General features: G+C 34.0%; 1 protein-coding gene and 2 long non-coding RNA genes across 66 annotated transcripts in view, besides 1 other annotated feature; 2 read left to right on the top strand and 1 right to left on the bottom strand.

The window, feature by feature from the left end:
- The window catches only part of LOC105375688 (uncharacterized), a 33,574-nt gene extending 21,035 nt beyond the window's left edge, over positions 1–12,539 (top strand). The window contains exons 3-4 of the long non-coding RNA XR_928499.1: positions 8,521–8,587; positions 12,503–12,539. This is a non-coding gene — a long non-coding RNA (uncharacterized LOC105375688). The remainder of the gene's footprint in view (positions 1–8,520; positions 8,588–12,502) is intronic.
- Positions 1–17,962, bottom strand: part of RIMS2 (regulating synaptic membrane exocytosis 2) — a 755,485-nt gene that overhangs the window by 165,481 nt on the left and 572,042 nt on the right. The window lies entirely within an intron of this gene.
- Positions 7,367–7,890: an enhancer, noted in NCBI's record as "NANOG hESC enhancer chr8:105094952-105095475 (GRCh37/hg19 assembly coordinates)". NCBI's record gives its function as "activates a minimal SCP1, AML or CMV promoter by ChIP-STARR-seq in naive H9 embryonic stem cells {active_cell/tissue: H9 hESC(naive)}" and the evidence as "EXISTENCE:reporter gene assay evidence [ECO:0000049][PMID:30033119]".
- On the top strand, positions 12,580–14,999 carry LOC107984007 (uncharacterized). The gene is made up of 3 exons (XR_928500.4): positions 12,580–12,615; positions 13,255–13,299; positions 14,884–14,999. It is a non-coding gene; the product is annotated as an uncharacterized LOC107984007 (long non-coding RNA).

The following is a 17,962-nucleotide window of genomic DNA, read 5'->3' as shown; positions in this document are numbered from 1 at the left end:
CTGACATAGAACATGCCTCATTTTTAATATTTGTCTTAGAACCTTATCCTGACATCCAAAGCCACCTGGTACTCGTGTATCCCAGCTTTCCTGATTGGTTTTTGTCCAATTTGCTTTTCTTTCATATCTGAAACCTAACTGCTTACTTGGCTTTTCAATTTCAGTAGTTAGGATTCTGATTTTGTCTACTCTAGCCTTTGTCTTTTTAGGTCTGTCATGATGTCTAGTCTTGTTGCTATGATTCATAGGTGCATAAAGGCTTTAATTTGTTTAGTTTTTAAAAGACAGGTTAGCATGGTGTGCACTGTGCATATCTTTATCCAAGACTTCTCAGATCATCCAATTTGCTGAGCTAAAATTTTAGATATGCAAAATTTAAGGAAAGATTCCCTATACTGTAGTTTTATGCCTTTTTTCACAGCGTTATAATAGTGTAAAGGTTTTATGCCTTTTATTCACACACAGCCCTATGACAAGAGATAGTGTGTAATTCATCACACATGACCTCTTGTCATTGGGCTCTGTGTGTGTGTGTATATATATATAATATATATATGTGCATGTGTATATAAATGTGTTCATGTTTAATTTTCAAACCCCCATTAGACTACAAACTCCTGAAGGCCAGCACAGTATCTTCCTCATCTTTGTGTGTCTCTTAGCACCTAAAAGTCAAAGATTTAACTTAAACTCTGAGGTTTAGCCTTCTTACTAGGGAGATAAGAATACACTCCATTTTAAGAATTTTTGAGAAAAATATATTCAAAATAATATATTCAAAATACATAATAATATGCTTAGCAAATAGCAGAGGCTTATTTCCAATGCCTAAAGCAGAAGGTCATTAAATAGGACACTGAATGGAACAGTTTATATAAAGAAAGAAGAGAAATTAGCTAAAGGCTCCAGTTTAATGATGATTCTGCTATCTACTCAAGGCTTGCACCAAATGTATTTCTCTGTTGACTTCTAAGCCACTGAGCATGTTTACCACTGGGATTAGCTCAGGTTTCTATTACAAATAGACATATGCTTTTAAAAATGAGAAATCTGGACAGTGAGAAAGAATACGAAAAATATTTTTTATAAATAAAATTTCAGAAGAATACATTTTGAACATATTTAGAATATAACATATTCACATATACAACTCAACCCCCACCCCCAGAAATCTAAGTACTAAACAACTTAATACTACAGTCAACATTTAAAATGGATAAATGTAGTTTTACTTTTCCTAAAATATGATAAACAAAAGTTATATACTTCAACAATGAGAGAGAAGCTAAATTGTTATTATACCAAGGTAATGAGCTACGAATGTGAGTAAGTAAATTTATTTATTTAGGAAATGGTTGGTGTTGTCTTGGCACTATACAATACATAATGTTTTAAATAATTAGCATGTATTAGAATATAGCTGATGGATGAACAATGAATGGCCTGTTAACCATTCTCTTTAATGGAACAAAAACAAAGAAGGATAATACGATCTTAGCTGAAAACTGTGCTCCGATTAAAGATCATTAAAATCTTGGAAGAGAGTAAAGAAGTTTTTCCGGACAACATTTTAATGTTTTGTACATACTATTAAGAAGATCATGAACTAGAAAAATTTACAGGAAATGATTATTCTTCAGGATGTTCCAGACTCTAAAGAGTTCCTAAGTGGCCTGGAAAAGTTAATGTTCTTCCTATATATCTAACATTAGTGGAAAGTAACAGTGTATCTGCAGAGCTCTATTGAAAAGAAGGCTATTATTGAAGTGTCAGAATGATATATTAGAATGATATACTTAAAAAAATAAATTACAATTTCTAAAATCAGTTTCATTTTCTCCAGTACTCATTTGAAGTTCTTAGGTTTGGCCATTTCCAACTCTGATTTTGCTAAAGCACCTCAAGAACTCTGGTTGTTTGATCTTCAGACAAAAGATGGGGGCAGGATTATGAACTTCCTTAAATATCACTTGTCTTCAATAAATCTCACCAGATAACCATTTATTGTACAAAACAATAATTAAAAAATTAATTATTGCAAAATACTGGATAATATAGAAGCCCAATTTTGAAGAAAAACAAGTCTCATGCTATCGAGAAGTACATGGATACCTGAATACCACATTCAAGGAAATACTGAGTTAATCAAAAGATAGGAGCGGGGAAAGAAAACTAAGGCAAACATAATCTTTGGAAGATACAAGTTAGGCTGAAGTTCTGGGCAGGGCTCTTGGTATCAATCTAGGGGAGGTAGAGGAAAGAAGAGGGCAGAGGGAATTCTGGCACTGCAGTCATTAAATAACCATGTGCATTTTCGTCATCCTGTTTTTATTTCATGTCATAATCGAAAGAAAATAGTTGTTGCTCTTTGATAGTAACACAATTGCAGGTACTTTTTCTCTGAGGAGCTACTTCCAGATGATGTTTTTCTCTGTCCTACCCAAGGCTCTTATCAGTGCCTGATCTGAATGCTGAATTGTATAAAAAATAAATAAAAATAAATTGCATAAAAATTAAAAAATGTACTTGTCAGAGATAATTTTGTTTAGCTATGACTTCTAAAGAGGGTATTATGTGATAATGGTCTAAAATTGGGAGGAGAGGGCAGTGAGCAAAGGCCAAAGACATTTGAGGACTTATTTAAGATTTAGTCTTGTAAACAATATTCTGCAAATGAAACCCCAGCTTGAAAGATTTCTGATAGCTGCAGAGCTCAAAAGGAAGGAGTCTGCAGTAAAGCTGAGCCTAACGAACATCATGCCTCAGTCTGGAAAGGAGTCTAGGACATAAAATTTTCACTGGAGACTGAGGCACTGAATTTTCTCCCTTGTTGGTCCTCAGGCCTGATGGCCTCTTCAGTTTGGTATAGTAATTAAACTAGCTACAATTATTATTTGTATACCCTGTGAAACATACTGTTGTAAATAATATGTGTGGATTATTTTATTTAGTTCTCCCAAACCTTATGAGGTCGCCTTTGTGATAGCTGGAGTCAGAAGGAAGTACAGTTAGGTAGGATGAGCCATACTCAACACCCTCTCCATTAAATAGGTCTAGTCATCTTCTAAGGCACAGTTTAAGATGTCACCTCCTCTGTGAAGTCTTCCTTAACTCCTTCAAAGAGAAGCACTGCTTCGAATGTTCCTCAACTACTTTACTCATGCCTTTATTACAGTTTTATCATGTGGTATTATGTGTACTTCTCCCTTGTCCATCCATCCATCCATCCATCCATGTATCAATCATCTATCCAGCTATTTAGCCATCTATTTGTAATGTACCCACCCCACTAGATTATAAACTCCCAGAGGATAATGACTTTTGTTGATTTTAGTAATCTTATTATCTATATCTGGGCCTGGCATTTAGAAGCAACTCAATGAATGTTTAATGATCAAAATGAATGGAATGATTTAGCTTTATCTGGGCTATATACTGAAGTATTATTCCATTATGAAGTATCAAATCAGTGTACAAGATACATTGATAGCTGTATAGAGTTTAGTCACCTAATTATTTCATTCTCTGTGGTGGGTATAGGCAGTGCTGTTACAGTAAATGTTTAACAACTAGCTTTCTGAGGAAAAAAAATTCCAATTTACGGAGTTTTCTGATTTCCGTGATATAAATACTCCCATTATGGCTGATTTCAAGTTACCAAGTGGTCACTGAACAGACAGTTGGGCACACCACTGGTTGTGGGGTTTAGGAATACAGGCTTTGTTTATAGGGCTAAGACTCCTTAGGAGAGAATGAGTAAGGGACAATAAATATTTACTGTGTATCAAGACCTGTGATCTCATTTAAAGTTCACCTTGGACCTGTGAAGAAGGCATTTTCTCCATTCTATAGATCTAGAAACAGACTCACTCAGGGAAGTCTTTGAAACATGACATAGCAAGAACAGCTTAAAGTAAAAAGCGGTAGTCGAAGAAAGGGTAGCCATTAGCATGTATGCCAAGACTTACTAATGAACCAGCTGTCGCTTGATATGAAGGAAATTTATGAGGTGAATAATTTTTCCTGGATAATTTACAGAGGAAGAATTATTGCCAGTAGTCAATTATGACCTTCCCTAAGGCTTGGCTTTGTGGGAACTCAATGTCTATTAGTAATCAGCTTCTCCTTGAGAAACAATCTTAATTTACTTCTATCGATTTCTCAGTTTTCAGAGATAGAAGTGCCAGCGCTGCAATGAAACCCCAGGTTTAGAGATCTCAGGTAGCTGCAAAGCTTATGCTTTTGCCCTTAACAAATGAATTTACCATGTTCTTCAAGAGAATCAACAACTCTTAAGCCATTCTATCATGTACTAAAACTGTTCTCAAAAAAAAAAAAAAAAAAAAACCCACCAGAACAAAATTCCCCAATAACATCCTAATTTACCAGTCAGTGGTATCTTTTTAGGTTTTTTCTTTCCCCTCCCTTCTTGAAAATTTCCCATAATGACTTCTTAGATATTGCCACTCAGGGTTTCTACTCTATGTCCCTGAGTGTTACTTTTTAATCTCCTTTCCCAGCTTTGTTTTCCCTAACCTGATTTTAAATTATATTTTCTCAAAGTTCCCATCTTTAGCCTTCTTTTAACTATATTACCCCAGGATCATATAATCCATTGTCTACCCATTTTAATTACCAAGTAATGACTAATAAAATCCTTATTCTCACCTCTCCCAAGCTTCAGATCTGTATTTCCAGATGCTGACAGGACATCTCCTGTACTTCCTTTTGCTGGCACATCAAATTCAATATAGCTCAAACCAAATTTATTCTTTCACCCTAAACCAGCTCTCCTTGTACCTCTTATGTTCCCTGCACTGTAGGCTCAATATCCAACTAAAACCTAGATAAGTTGTGAATTATCTTTGACTCCTCCTTCCCCAGTATCCTCCATTCTAATCAGCCAAGAAATATTACTTAGTCATTTAATGGAAACAAATATTATCTAAATATTTAGCTATCGGGGGTTATGAATGGGTCCTTGGTCTTTCCTTTTGGTAACCAGAGTATTTAATACCTATTTATTTGTGGCAGTTGCTGCTGAATGCCTACGCAATATTCCCTCTCCCACTTTGGTCTTTATTAAAAGAATCCACACTGATTTTAATAACAACAAAACAAAACAACTTCATTTTCTACCTTGTATGTAAGGTGATCATTTGATGTGAGTGTGACCTCTGAAATATAAGCAGGAATCTAGGGTGGGGTTTAGGGAGAGCTACTATGTATCTGATTACAGTGAGCTAACATAGCTGGTATGACCATATGTCTTTCCCTTTTCTTTTTTCTTTCTTATTGGAGTTCAAACCCAAGCCTACAGCTACAGCAGGCATTCTGTGATGATGGGGATGAATGTCTTACTCTAAGAAAGGAGAATAGGAAGACAGAGTGCTTGGGTCTTACATAATAGTACCAGCCCTGGGCTGTTTGGATTTCTTGTTGTGTGAAGTAAAATTCCTTGTTTATTCAGATAATTTTGTCAGGTGTTTTGTTATAAACAGCTGAGTGCAAACATGACTGATACACTTTTCTGAATGCAAATTCTTCCTGGTCTGTGTCAGAAGAAAATTTCTGACCTCATAGTGTAAACATATTCCCTAAGCAACAATATTGATGAAAATCATAATAGTCATCTAATTTTGATAAGAGGCAGTATACCATAATGACCAAGGGATTAAGAGCTGAAAGATATGGGTGTGTAACTGCTCTTCCACTTACTAGGAGCTACACAATCTTAGGCAAGTCTCTTAACATCTTTAAGTCTGCTTCTAGATTCACATTGTGGAGACAATACCTTCTTAATAGGACAAATATGAGTTTTAAATGAGATCACAGGTCTTGACATATAGTAAGTATTTACCATGATAATTAACTAGGCATAGTCCATGATGAAATAAAAGAAACTGTACATTATGATACTAAATATTCACCATCATTAAGCCATGAGCTCAAAAATTTTACCTTGACTTGAAAAAAAACCATGAAAATGGCTATGAATACTTTATAAATAGGTTCTTAATTGCACGTCTCATAAAAAACAAAAAACGAAAGGGCATTGTCCTTTGATGCTAGATTGGTTTATTTACTTAGAGTAGGATAATACCAAACCTGCCTTGGAAATTCAGGTTTATTCATTCTTGAAACTATTCTACTTTAGTTTTTTTTTTTTTTTTTTTGAGACAGAGTCTTGCTCAGTCGCCCAGGCTGGAGTGCAGTGGCGCGATCTCGACTCACTGCAACCTCTGCCTGCCAGGTTCAAGCAATTCTGCCTCAGCCTCCCAAGTAGCTGGGATTACAGGTGCCTGCCACCACACCCGGCTAATTTTTGTATTTTTAGTAGAGATGGTGTTTCACCATGTTGGCCAGGGTGGTCTTCAACTCCTGACGTCAAGTGATCCACCCGCCTCGGCCTCCCAAATTGCTGGGATTACAGGCATGAGCCACCATGCCTGGTCACAGTTAGTTTTTATAATTATGTTTATACTTGATACTAAGGAAAGTTAAACTGAGGACAGTAACAATCTATCACCATAACACATTATTAATAATAATTAAAATTTAAATACTTTTTATAGTTTACAAACAACTTTCAAATATCTTATAGTTTTCTTTTTCACATCTGATAAAACAGCTTTTTAACCTTTTACAGATAATATATAACATTAACACTTAGCTGTGTATTGATATAGATGTAACCACAAAAAGTAAATATTTTTTCAATAGCTTTAGTCTTAGATTTGTAAACCCTTTATTATTCAGTAATAGCTCAAACTCATGTCATCTGAAATATCTGCCTCAGTCAAGAAGTGTTTCAAAGTCTGTTTTTCTCAGACCCTTACATATATTAATAATAATATTCTGATACATACATACAATTTCATGTCTATCCAAGCCCCAGAGGGTAGAACAAAATGCCTGCTGCTAATCTAAACCAATGCACCCAGTTTAAAGCCCTTATGTTTTTATTATGACTAAATGCTTCTCCAAGCCCTCAGATCAGAAACCCATAAGATCTACTAGAATTAAGAAAAGTCATAAAGAAACCGTCACTAAGAATTCCTGGCACATGGCCCTTTGTGACCATCTTTAAACATTACATGGATTATATGATTTTTATGAATGTTTAAAGAATATTTATCTAATTGATTGGGATATAGGGTATAGAAATTACAGATATCATGTGGCAAGCTAGCATCCCAAAAGTTGCAACAGAAATAAGACATGAGAACACATCAGTAGGACCAGTGCCCTGGGGATCTGAAGCAGGCAGAAACACAACAAAAACATATGAGCTGGAGACAAGAAATAAGGTTCCCTTTCAATTATTAGTACTTTAGAAGGTAATAGCGTAACTTTAAGTACTTGTGCTGAAAAGAGTCAAGGCTAAATAATAGCCTGAATAACTATGTAATGTTAAAAAACCTGAAGGGGCCTGAGAATTGCTCTGATCTATCAAATTCAGGGATAGGGCAAATATAATTATATTCTGTTGGAAGTCTGAAGAGGCCCACTACTCCTGTTCCCTGTGTGAGAAGACAGAGAAGCATCAACTGGGCTTACAGAAAGACCATTTGGGATGGAGCCAACAGTCAAAGCAGGGACAAAGACTAACAATTACCTCTTGCTTGGACTACTACAATAGCCTCCTAATGGGACTCTTTGTCTGTAATGTTCTTTTCAAATGCATCTTAAGTATATCATTAAAATTACCTTCTAAAAGCACAAATTTGTTCATGTCAGCAACTTCCTCAAAAATCTTCCAAACCCATCATTCCATATGGGTTGTATAAAATATAGAAAAATAATATAGAACATAAGTAATACAGATATTAAAATATTAAAAGAATATAGATATATAGATGTTAACATATAAGATACAGACTTTAAAATAATACAGGTATTTAAAATAATATAAAAATATAAACATAAAATTTAAAATGTAGAACATTCTATATTTTTAACTGAGAGATTCAAAGTTCTCCACAATCTTGTCCCAGCCAACTTTTACATTCTTTTCTCCGAATACATATCCCCATTTGTTGTATATTTCCACACTAAAGAACTATTAGCTGTTTCTTAAACATGGCTTGTGCTCATGTAACGCCATAACTTTGTTTAAGCTCTCTCTTCAGCCTGAGAAGTCCTTCACTTCATGTGTTACATTCTATTCTATTCCCAGATTTCTACCAGCCAAATGAATATTTCTTTTGCTGTTCTTCCTTTGTACGTGTATTTTTAAAAATTATATCATTCAACACAGCCTATTTTGTACCATCATTACTTATGTACATGCGTTTCTCTAATTTGATAGTGAACTCTTGGATTGAAAGGATATGCTAGCCTGCCTTCCTCCATTCTTTCCCTCTCTCCTTCCTTTAATTCTCTTTTTCCTTTTCTTTTTTCCCCTCTCTTCATCCCCTTTCCCTTCCGTCCTTTATTCCTTCTTTACTCACTATTTCCTTCATTTTATTGTTATTCATATGGTTATTCCTCTGGCATTTTCTTTCTTTAATGTTGCAGAACCAGAATCCAGAATTAAAGCTGATGAGCTTCAGCAATACCCGAGGTATGAAGTTCTGACTTGCAGGTAAGAGAGAGAGAATGAATGACCACTGAATGACCACTGAAATTGAAAAAAAAATATTCAAATGCCTTAAAAAACAGAGAAGGAAAGAAGACTCATATAACCACTTTTTTGTTTGTTTGTTTTTTGTTTTTTGTTCAAGAGAACAGCCCAGGAAAGTTACCCGGTACTGAACCACACATTTGGTTATTTCCTCATCACTGAATCATTCACAAGTTCACCATATTTTAAAGCTAAAAGATACCTCAGAGAGAATGTAATCTAGCTTTCTCATTTTATAGATGAGAAAATTGAGAAATAGAGAAGTGATTAAGATTATACAACTTGTTATTATAAGGTCTATTTCTTTTCATTAAACTTTTTTTTCACTTTTATTGTCAAATTTGTTTTTACTTTTAATTAAAAGTGATAATTTGTATTCATTTTAATGGGACACTGGGCAAGCAAGTTTAGACTGATTTCTTTTGAAAATATTCATATTGTTTTCAACTTTAGGGATATGCTTAAAATAAAGATTTTCAGCCTTTTTTGAAATTTTGAAAAATCTATCTAAAATGACCTAAATAATCAGAATACAAAACAGCATTAAAATAACACTACTTGTAAGTATAATTGGATGGATTTTAACAAAGTAAAACTTTGACAATAATATCATATTAACTAACTTGAATAAAAACATGTTTTATGTTCTATTGAATAAAAGCATGTTTTATGTTCTATTGAAATAAGCCCTTTAAACTCATTTAAAATTCAGGTGATTTTATTTTTTGGCAGAAAATCGAAAAGGGCTTAAGAAGTAACATGTTCTTATGTGACTGGACCCTGGAGACTGTTGGCCTTGTTTGTAAGCATTCCGAGTCATAAAAATGACCTGAAAATGGCCAATCATAAAATCACAGCGATTTCTTTGTTACTCAGGAAGTTATATTGAGGTAGTAAGTTTTAATTCATCCATCAGAATGAAGTTCAACTGTAAGTTAGTTTTTATTACTCCTACCTCCCATGTTATAATAAATACTAAAAAATAACTACGATTATGGACATTCCCATGTGCTAGGCCTAGTGCTATAGAGATGTTTCCACTCTCTGAAGTTATCACCAAAGTCCCTTCCTTCATATGAAATATATTCCAAGGTTAGCTATATTATTTCCAGACTGGAGTATTATTTTACGATCTTCAAAATTGATGCAATAGAAGTAATCAAATTTCCAAATGTTTAATAAAACGTTATATTTATTTTGCTAATAAATGATATCTGTAATCCTTCCAACTAAAGAAAAATTACAACTGAATTTTGTGCTGATGAACAAAGCCATTACATAACAAAATTGTAGATATATTTGTATTATAATTAGCTGAACTAAATTGAAGTTATAGATGTGAATGGTTCCATGTTACCCTGGATGACTGACTTTATTGACTAAAGGTTTTTACACAAGTGTCAATTCAAACTTAATTATCAATTACTTCATGTAAAATATGCAAAACATTACACATATAAATTTATTCTCTAAGTCATAGTTATTATGGCACAAGTTCATTAAAAATTATACAGATTCAGGCACTTGTGAGAACATGTCTAGTAGAGAGCCTTACACTGATCAGACTACTCAATCAATGAATGAAACATTAGAATTGAAAGAAATAAAATATAGAAAATATATTTCAAATCTAATTTTAAGACTAGGCTCTGAGATTAAATAATTTACTTAATTAATGATGAGACTGATTAAAACCCAAATGTTAATTCATAGTGGTCTTTTCAATGCTGCCTCCAAAGTACCACATATTTGTTTAACACTTTATAAGGTTCCTTCAATTTGTAGATAGAAAAAAGTTGAGTTGTGAAGAACTATTGGGCAACTTATCCAAAGTCTTATTACATGAATGGCATAACCAAAGTTAGAAGCCCAATCTTCTCATTCTATCTCAGTATTCTTTCCACTATTATTATCTCTAGATGGAAATCAATAATTGTATGCCCATTAGAAAACATGCTTTTGACTATTACCCAATAATCTACCTATATCTTCTTCTAAAAATCATATTTTGTTCTTATATTGATACAAAATGCTTAAAATTCACCTTCTCTAGAATCTTTTTCAAACTATCCTATCCTACTTCTCTCAGCATCCACGTCCACGTTCATTCACTAAAATTAATCCCATTGAGTGCTTATTGTGGCCAAGGCAAAGTACATGCTACTGAGAGACTACAAAGATGAATAATATAGTCACCGTTCTCAAGAAGTGTATAGTTTAATATAAAAGACATAAATATTCCACATATAAAACAGAATATATGTATTTTATGTGGTAATGCCATGGTTGGTTCAGAAGGTATATATGTTTTCACCTATCTGTTGTTTTCCATATTCTTTTACTTCATATATATATATATATATATATATATATATATATATATATATATCATGCTTAATCCTTTCAGTTATGTGAAATTTGATTGGAAAGAATGTATCTGTTCTATTTGATCATATTTTCTTCCTTCTTTTCCCATATCCTCCCTGATTTTATAAAGCGAGACCTTTCCCTTCTGTAGTCTACTATAATTCATTCCCTGTAGAATATTCTAGCTGTTAACAAGCTAGCAACTCTGGAGCCTTGATGAAAGCAAAGATGAAGTCATATGTTTATTATTATTTTTTATTTTGCTGACGGTAAAAGGAAATGTTTCTCCTTTATATTCTTAGGTAATTACAGGAGGGTACTGCACTCTTGGCAATGGCAGCTATTCTCCACAGATTGACCCTCTTACCTGCAAGTAGCTGCCTGCAACTTATCTACAATTCTCTCTTTGTCAGTTTTTAGAAACTTTATGTTACTAAAAAGGGAGAAGTTAAAATTTCTGCTATAATTCTACAGTGTTCTATAATATACAAGTTGCTGTTTTTGTCATCTCAAATGACTTTTTTTTTTGCATAATACTGCCACACTGGAAGACTTACTCATAATTAAAAATAGTCTTTTTATATTTCCTGGCTTAAAATGTGAATATATGGTAAAAGGTAGCAATTCACAAATACATCTAAAGGAAAGGGACCCATGCTTGAATATCAGCATAAAATTATGGCTACGCGAGTCATATTTAAATGTGGTTTTCATGGCTAAGACAGCTAATTTTTAAGATGCATTTGCAAACACAAAACCAAAATATTTTATCTCTTAGGATTTGAGAAGGCAGTTGTAAAAATAGGAAGAAATAGAGAAAAGTAATAAAATCAAAAAAGAAATAAAAAGTTCAAAGCAAAACAGCTACGGTTAGTTGCCTAAAAATCCCTATTCACATTCTAATCAAATATGCTTTCACAATGCAATAAAGTTTTAATTTAAAAGATCATTAGCTACTTTGTAGAGATGTGTTATAGACTGAATTGTGTTCCTCCCAAATTCCTATACTGAAGTCCTAGTCTTCAGTACCTCAGAATGTGACTGTACTTGACGCTAGAGCTTTTCAAGAGGTAATTAAGGTAAAATGAGGTCACATAGGTAGTTCCTAATCCAATATGATTGGTGTCCTTATAAGAAGAGATTAGGACACAGACACACACAAAGTGAAGACACAGCAAGAAGGCAGCCATCTGAAAGCCATGGAAAGGCCTCAGAAGGAGCCAGCCTAGCCAACACCTTAAAGTTCTAGCCTCCAAAACTGGGAAAATACATTTCTGTTCTTTAAGCCACCCCTTCTATGGTATTTTGTTATAGCAGCCCTAATCAACTAATATGGGATGTTAAGGAAAAAGAAACCTAAACTAGAAACTTTTAAAATCGAAGATTAATCACAAATAAAAATACAAAATCGCTAAAATTTCATTAAAATGAGTTACCATCAAGTGTTTTTTTTTTTTGGTTTGTTTTTTTTGTTTGTTTTTGAGATGGAGTCTTGCTCTTGTTGCCCAGGTTGGAGTGCAGCGATCTCGGCTCATTGCAACCTCTGCCTCCCGGGTTCAAGAGATTCTTCTGCCTCAGCCTTCTAACTAGCTGGGATTACAGGCACCAGCCACCACACCCAGGTAATTTTTGGTATTTTTAGTAGAGATGGGGTTTCACCATGTTGGCCAGGCTGGTCTCAAACTCCTGACCTCAGGCAATCCACCTGCCTTGGCCTCCCGAAGTGCTGGGATTACGGGCGTGAGCCACCGTGCCCGGCCACCACCAAGTTTTTAACTGTAGATCTTTTATGTAACAGGAGAGACAAGAAATAGATGAGAATTTCTTCCAATGAGGCAAGGAATAAATGAACAGTTGTTGCTTCTATCAGCTAAATCATAATTTATACATCTGTGTTTACACATACACTTACTCATACCCTAAAGCTCTGAACCCTGAGTTCAGAGCTTTAGGGTATGAGTAAGTGTATGTGTAAACACAGATGTATAAATTATGTGGAAATACATTATAATTTTATATCTGCCTACAGGTATATCTATACCAATAGACAGATATTTAGATTAAAATTTAAATACAATCAGCTTGCTAGGGAATATAAACTATACAATAAGAATTTTGGGTAGAAAAAAATTTGAATAGATTTGCAAAAAAGACAAATCATTTTTAGGCTTTTAAAAGTATCATTTTTTTAAATTTTTCATCCTTTTCTCCCCACCTGTTTTTAAGATTACCTTAAAGATATACTTATCTATCTCTACTAGATTCCTGATGACAACAAATATACACTGGAACCCCCAAGGGCTTTGGTAAGTGGAAGTTATCTGTTGGAAACAGTGTTTCTTCCTTTTGTCCTTCTTTCCTATCATCATCGTCACCACCACCACCACCACGACCACAACCATCATTATCATATCACAGCTAACGTTTACTGATTGCTGTTACATATCAAGCTCTGCTCTAAGACTTTAATCTTTATATGTAGACAATCTTGAAAACAATCTGGCTGGGTGTGGTGGCTCATGCCTGTAATCCTAGCACTTTGTGAGGCCAAGGTGGGCGGATCACTTGAGGTCAGGAGTTCAAAACCAGCCTGGCCAACGTGGTGAAACCCTGCCTTTTACTAAAACGACAAAAAAATTAGCTGGGTGTGGTGGCACGTGCCTGTAATCCCAGTTACTCGGGAGGCTGAGGTAGGAGAATCACTTGAACCCGGGAGGCAGAGGTTGCAGTGACCTGAGATCACGCCACTGCTCTCCAGCCTGAGCAACAGAGCGAGACTATGTAAAAAAAAAAAAAAAAGATAAAAGAAAACAATCCTTGGAGGTAGGTACTATTATTAACACACCTTATAGAATAAGAAACTGAGGCACAAGAATGTTAAGTAACTTGCCCAAGGTCATACAGATAGTATAAGAGGTAGGGTTTTAATCTAGGCAGTTTGGTTAAGGAATCTACACTTTTAATACTACTCTGTAGTCTTTATTTAACCCTAATCACTAAAAATATATTGAAGAGTGATTATCAAACTGTCCATATATCTCTATTACTGTAAACAAGACTTCAGAATTTCTGCTATAAATCTGTGTCTGCTATAGTTATTAATAATATTGTGTACCAATTGTAAGAAATTATACTTCCAATGGCTCCTTCTCTCTTGACATCACCCCTTCTTTTACTTATCTCATAAAGGAAGAAATTATACAAACACATACAGAAATTTTTAGTTACTTTTAAATGCTAGTTTGATGGATGTTTGATATCACACAAATGAGAAATCTATCCTTGCAAACATGAATTCAAAAAAAAACTATAGAAGGGGGAAAATGGGCATAAATGATTTCAAAAATGTAATTTTATCATTTTTCATTCTGAACTATGACTCTTTTAATTAGGCTATATAACCATTTGGCAATTTTGTAAGTGGGACTGAAGGCTTTAATCAGGCCTTGATAAGATTACCATTAGCATCTCGTGCAATTCTACAGCTATATTATATAATGCTGCTCTTATTTGCTAGCTTAATAACCTGGATTTCAAAATCTAAGTTTATGTATCTTCATAAATATACTTGATAAAGGAAATACCTCAGGGTGATGTAAAAATAAAACATACACGTCAGGTGACTAATTAAAATCCTGGAGGATGGCTGGCTTGGACAAGCAACTTAGACAGCTTAGAAGACTGTGGCCTGGTTTGGGGCCAGGAAGCAAAGAAAAGTGTGCGATACTTGGTCAAATGTATCCTCAGCTGGTGGAGAGGTGGGGAGTATAGTAGGCGGCAGTATCATTGAGTACTAAGCATACTCTCATAGTTTCGTAGGCTAGTCTGGCATTTAAGAATACTTCCAAGTAATGTAGGCTGTCCTTTTTTCTCTTATGCTCCCATATCAGCAGGTTCACTGATTTCCAGATATTTCTCTTGGGATTCTGCTATAGGACCTGAAGTTATCTGCTTGCTGAGGCATGAAGAAATAAATAAAATAATAGGAAAATATGAAAAAGTAAAATAAGCGTTTATAGAAGTGATGTGTTTCATTGAAGAAATCCAGGTACAGCCACTGGCATAGTCTCTGACATCTTCATCAGTACAAGATAAGATTACTTGACTTGGCTCGAGTTGAAAATCATGAGTAAGTGATCTTAATTCTAATTCAAAAATAGAAAACCATTCTGCTGGATATCTGTTAGACTATGCCTAGCAGGCATTTTTTTGAAAATCTGAACCCAACTTCTGTTCATGAAACAGTAGATTGCTTATTCCAAAGAAGAATGCTTCATTCATTACTTTCTATTTAAAACATCTTATTGTACTCCCTGAGACTGCGTTCACAAGATCATGCCTATTAGAATCCTCTTGTTCTATTTATCAGAGGATTCCATCTTACACATGCATAATGACGTCTGTTTTACATGAATACTAGGTTTTCTTGGTAGCTTGAGAACTGACGCTGCAGCAGCTCTTCCTGTAGCAGGCACAAAGCCTGGCTCTATCCACCTCATCATGTTACTGGGCTGAGTTACATACTAACAGCAGCTCAATTTTTCTCCCTAAGAAAAATACTTTTCCCCAAGTATTTTGTTTCTATCACTGCTGTAAAATTAAAACATAACTCTTATTTCTTCATGTCTACATTATATCTAAATTCATGTATTGTCATGTTTCTTCTTGATAATATATATAAGGCTATCTAATCTACATTTTAAAACTTGCCTTTTATAAACGTGGTCTTAGTTGTCAGGTCCATTTATGTCATCACTATTAATGAGTATTTCTTTGAAAACACCCACACCCATATGCATGTCTATTAATCACTTCATCAAGGACCAGTCACCTTTAATGTCAACCATGATAGCATAATTTCTTAATTTCAGTAATTTGGTTTGTGATTTTTCATCACATATTATGTTCCAGTCTCCTTTAATTAAAAAAAATCTTCATATCCCCTTAAGATTCATAAATTTTTTTCCTCTAAATTTCATTTTTCCTTTTAGATTTGTGCTACTTGAATCTCCTTATTTGAGAGTAAAGGGAACATTCAAAGATATCTGAGCCACACTAAAATCAATAAAATCATTTTCCTTATCTTAGTCATTTCTTTATCATTTCTTTTTGGTCTTGTCAGATTCATATCTGGTGTCTATTATTATATTTGCTGTTGTTACTATAAAATAATAACTAATATTAGCTGCATTATTTATTGAGCATTTACTAGGTGCTAAACAATTTATATACATCATCTCGTTTAATCCTCATCACTACCCTATAAAATAGATACCAAAACCTTGTTTAATAGATTAAAAAAGCTGTGAGGTTAAACCTACCCCAAGCCACCCAGGCAGAGTCCACTTGACCCCAGGCTGTGCCCTTTCTAATACACTACTCACCCACTGCTGCCACATTCTGATGATATTTGAGACTTAAAGTATTCCTGACTTACATTAAATTTTTGAAGAGCTCATATATGACCACTTGTAACAAGCCTCAACTTTTCTCCCCTCATTGCCTGTGCCTTGAAAGTCAATGTAAAATACTTAAGGTTAGCACTGAATATGTCTTCTCAGTGTTGAGAAGCGCATAAGTGCTAATCAAATGAAACAAACAGTTTAGATAACAGTGGCATTTTAATTGACCAAACATACTTTAACTATCTGAAATATTTTCTATTAATACTGCTTATAAGTCCACCAATTTCAGTTTATGTTGTATTTATAAGGGCTTTTTAAAAAATGAAGCTCTGTGTTGTCATTCATATTTTAACGTAAACTAGTTTAATCAAATTGCTTTCCCCAATACATCTTTGAGATCTGTGAATGGGTGCCTAAAAGACTAGAAGCCTGGGGAAAAAGCGACAGGATATAGGTGAAAAGTGCCTAGGGTCAGGCATGCACAATAAATGGAGACAAACTTTCTTTTCCTTTATTTTATTACATTGTCCTCTGTTCTAACCCAATCTATTATATTATGGGTTAAATAGATTATCATAGGCTTCTGGCCTCCATTTGAAGAGATCTGGGCAACTCATAGATTATACTGCTTCTTAATTCCAGGGAGACAAATAAGAGAATGGAAAATTATGATATAACTGCTATAATAGGAGTGAGACATTTTTGTGATAATTTTGTAGAAGTATTGCCACAACATACTCCTTAAAAAAGAGCATGGTTTTTCCAGAGAAATAAGCTTTGAGTTCCAATAAATACTGTGCCAATAAACATTATTTGTTGAATGAGCCTTATTTGTTGAAATGCTATGGGGCCACTCTTTCAAAGAGTATCTTCATAGCAATATATAGCTTGTGGGAACATTTAAAAATATTAAATATGGCAAATTTAAAAACTAAAGCTCATATGTTTAAATAAGCATTATCAAATCATCCATATTAATTTCCATGTATAAATACATTGTTGGACTTTTAAGTATTGATAATTATGCCAATTTATCATTATATAACTCACAGAAGGGTAGTTGACCTGTGGTGAACCATAATTTACACTGTTAAACTTAATAAATCACATTTTTCTGAGAAAATAAAGAGGAAAGAAAGTTGATTTTATAGAAAAAATACGTTGATCCTTAAATTATTGCTAAGAATAGATGAATCACATTCAAGCTGGGATAAAAAAAGTACAAGAAGCATGCAAGAGTACATTGAGTATAATAAATTCTATTTTGAGGGAAACTCCCTGAGAAATCATCCACTGATTAACTAGAAATCATGTCTGTACATGCCTTTGCTGCTCTTATTAAAAATAGACTCTCTTCTTTCAAGTTTTCTAGTATACTGAAAATATTCTTAGAAAGACAGTAGCTTAATAGGCATTGCTCTATAGATGCTTTCAAAGTGAGTTACTAAGAAGATTTCTTTAAATTTAGTAGGAATTATTTAAAACTATCAATGCAGAAGTCTTGAGAAATTCAGGGAGCAATGCCATGTAGAATGTGAACTGTACAGTTTTTAAAAAAAAACCT

This window comes from Homo sapiens, chromosome 8, assembly GCF_000001405.40.
Source record: "Homo sapiens chromosome 8, GRCh38.p14 Primary Assembly".
NCBI classification, from domain to species: domain Eukaryota; kingdom Metazoa; phylum Chordata; class Mammalia; order Primates; family Hominidae; genus Homo; species Homo sapiens.
The sequence above is the reverse complement of the archived record's forward strand: the minus strand, read 5'-3'. Positions and strand labels throughout refer to the sequence as shown.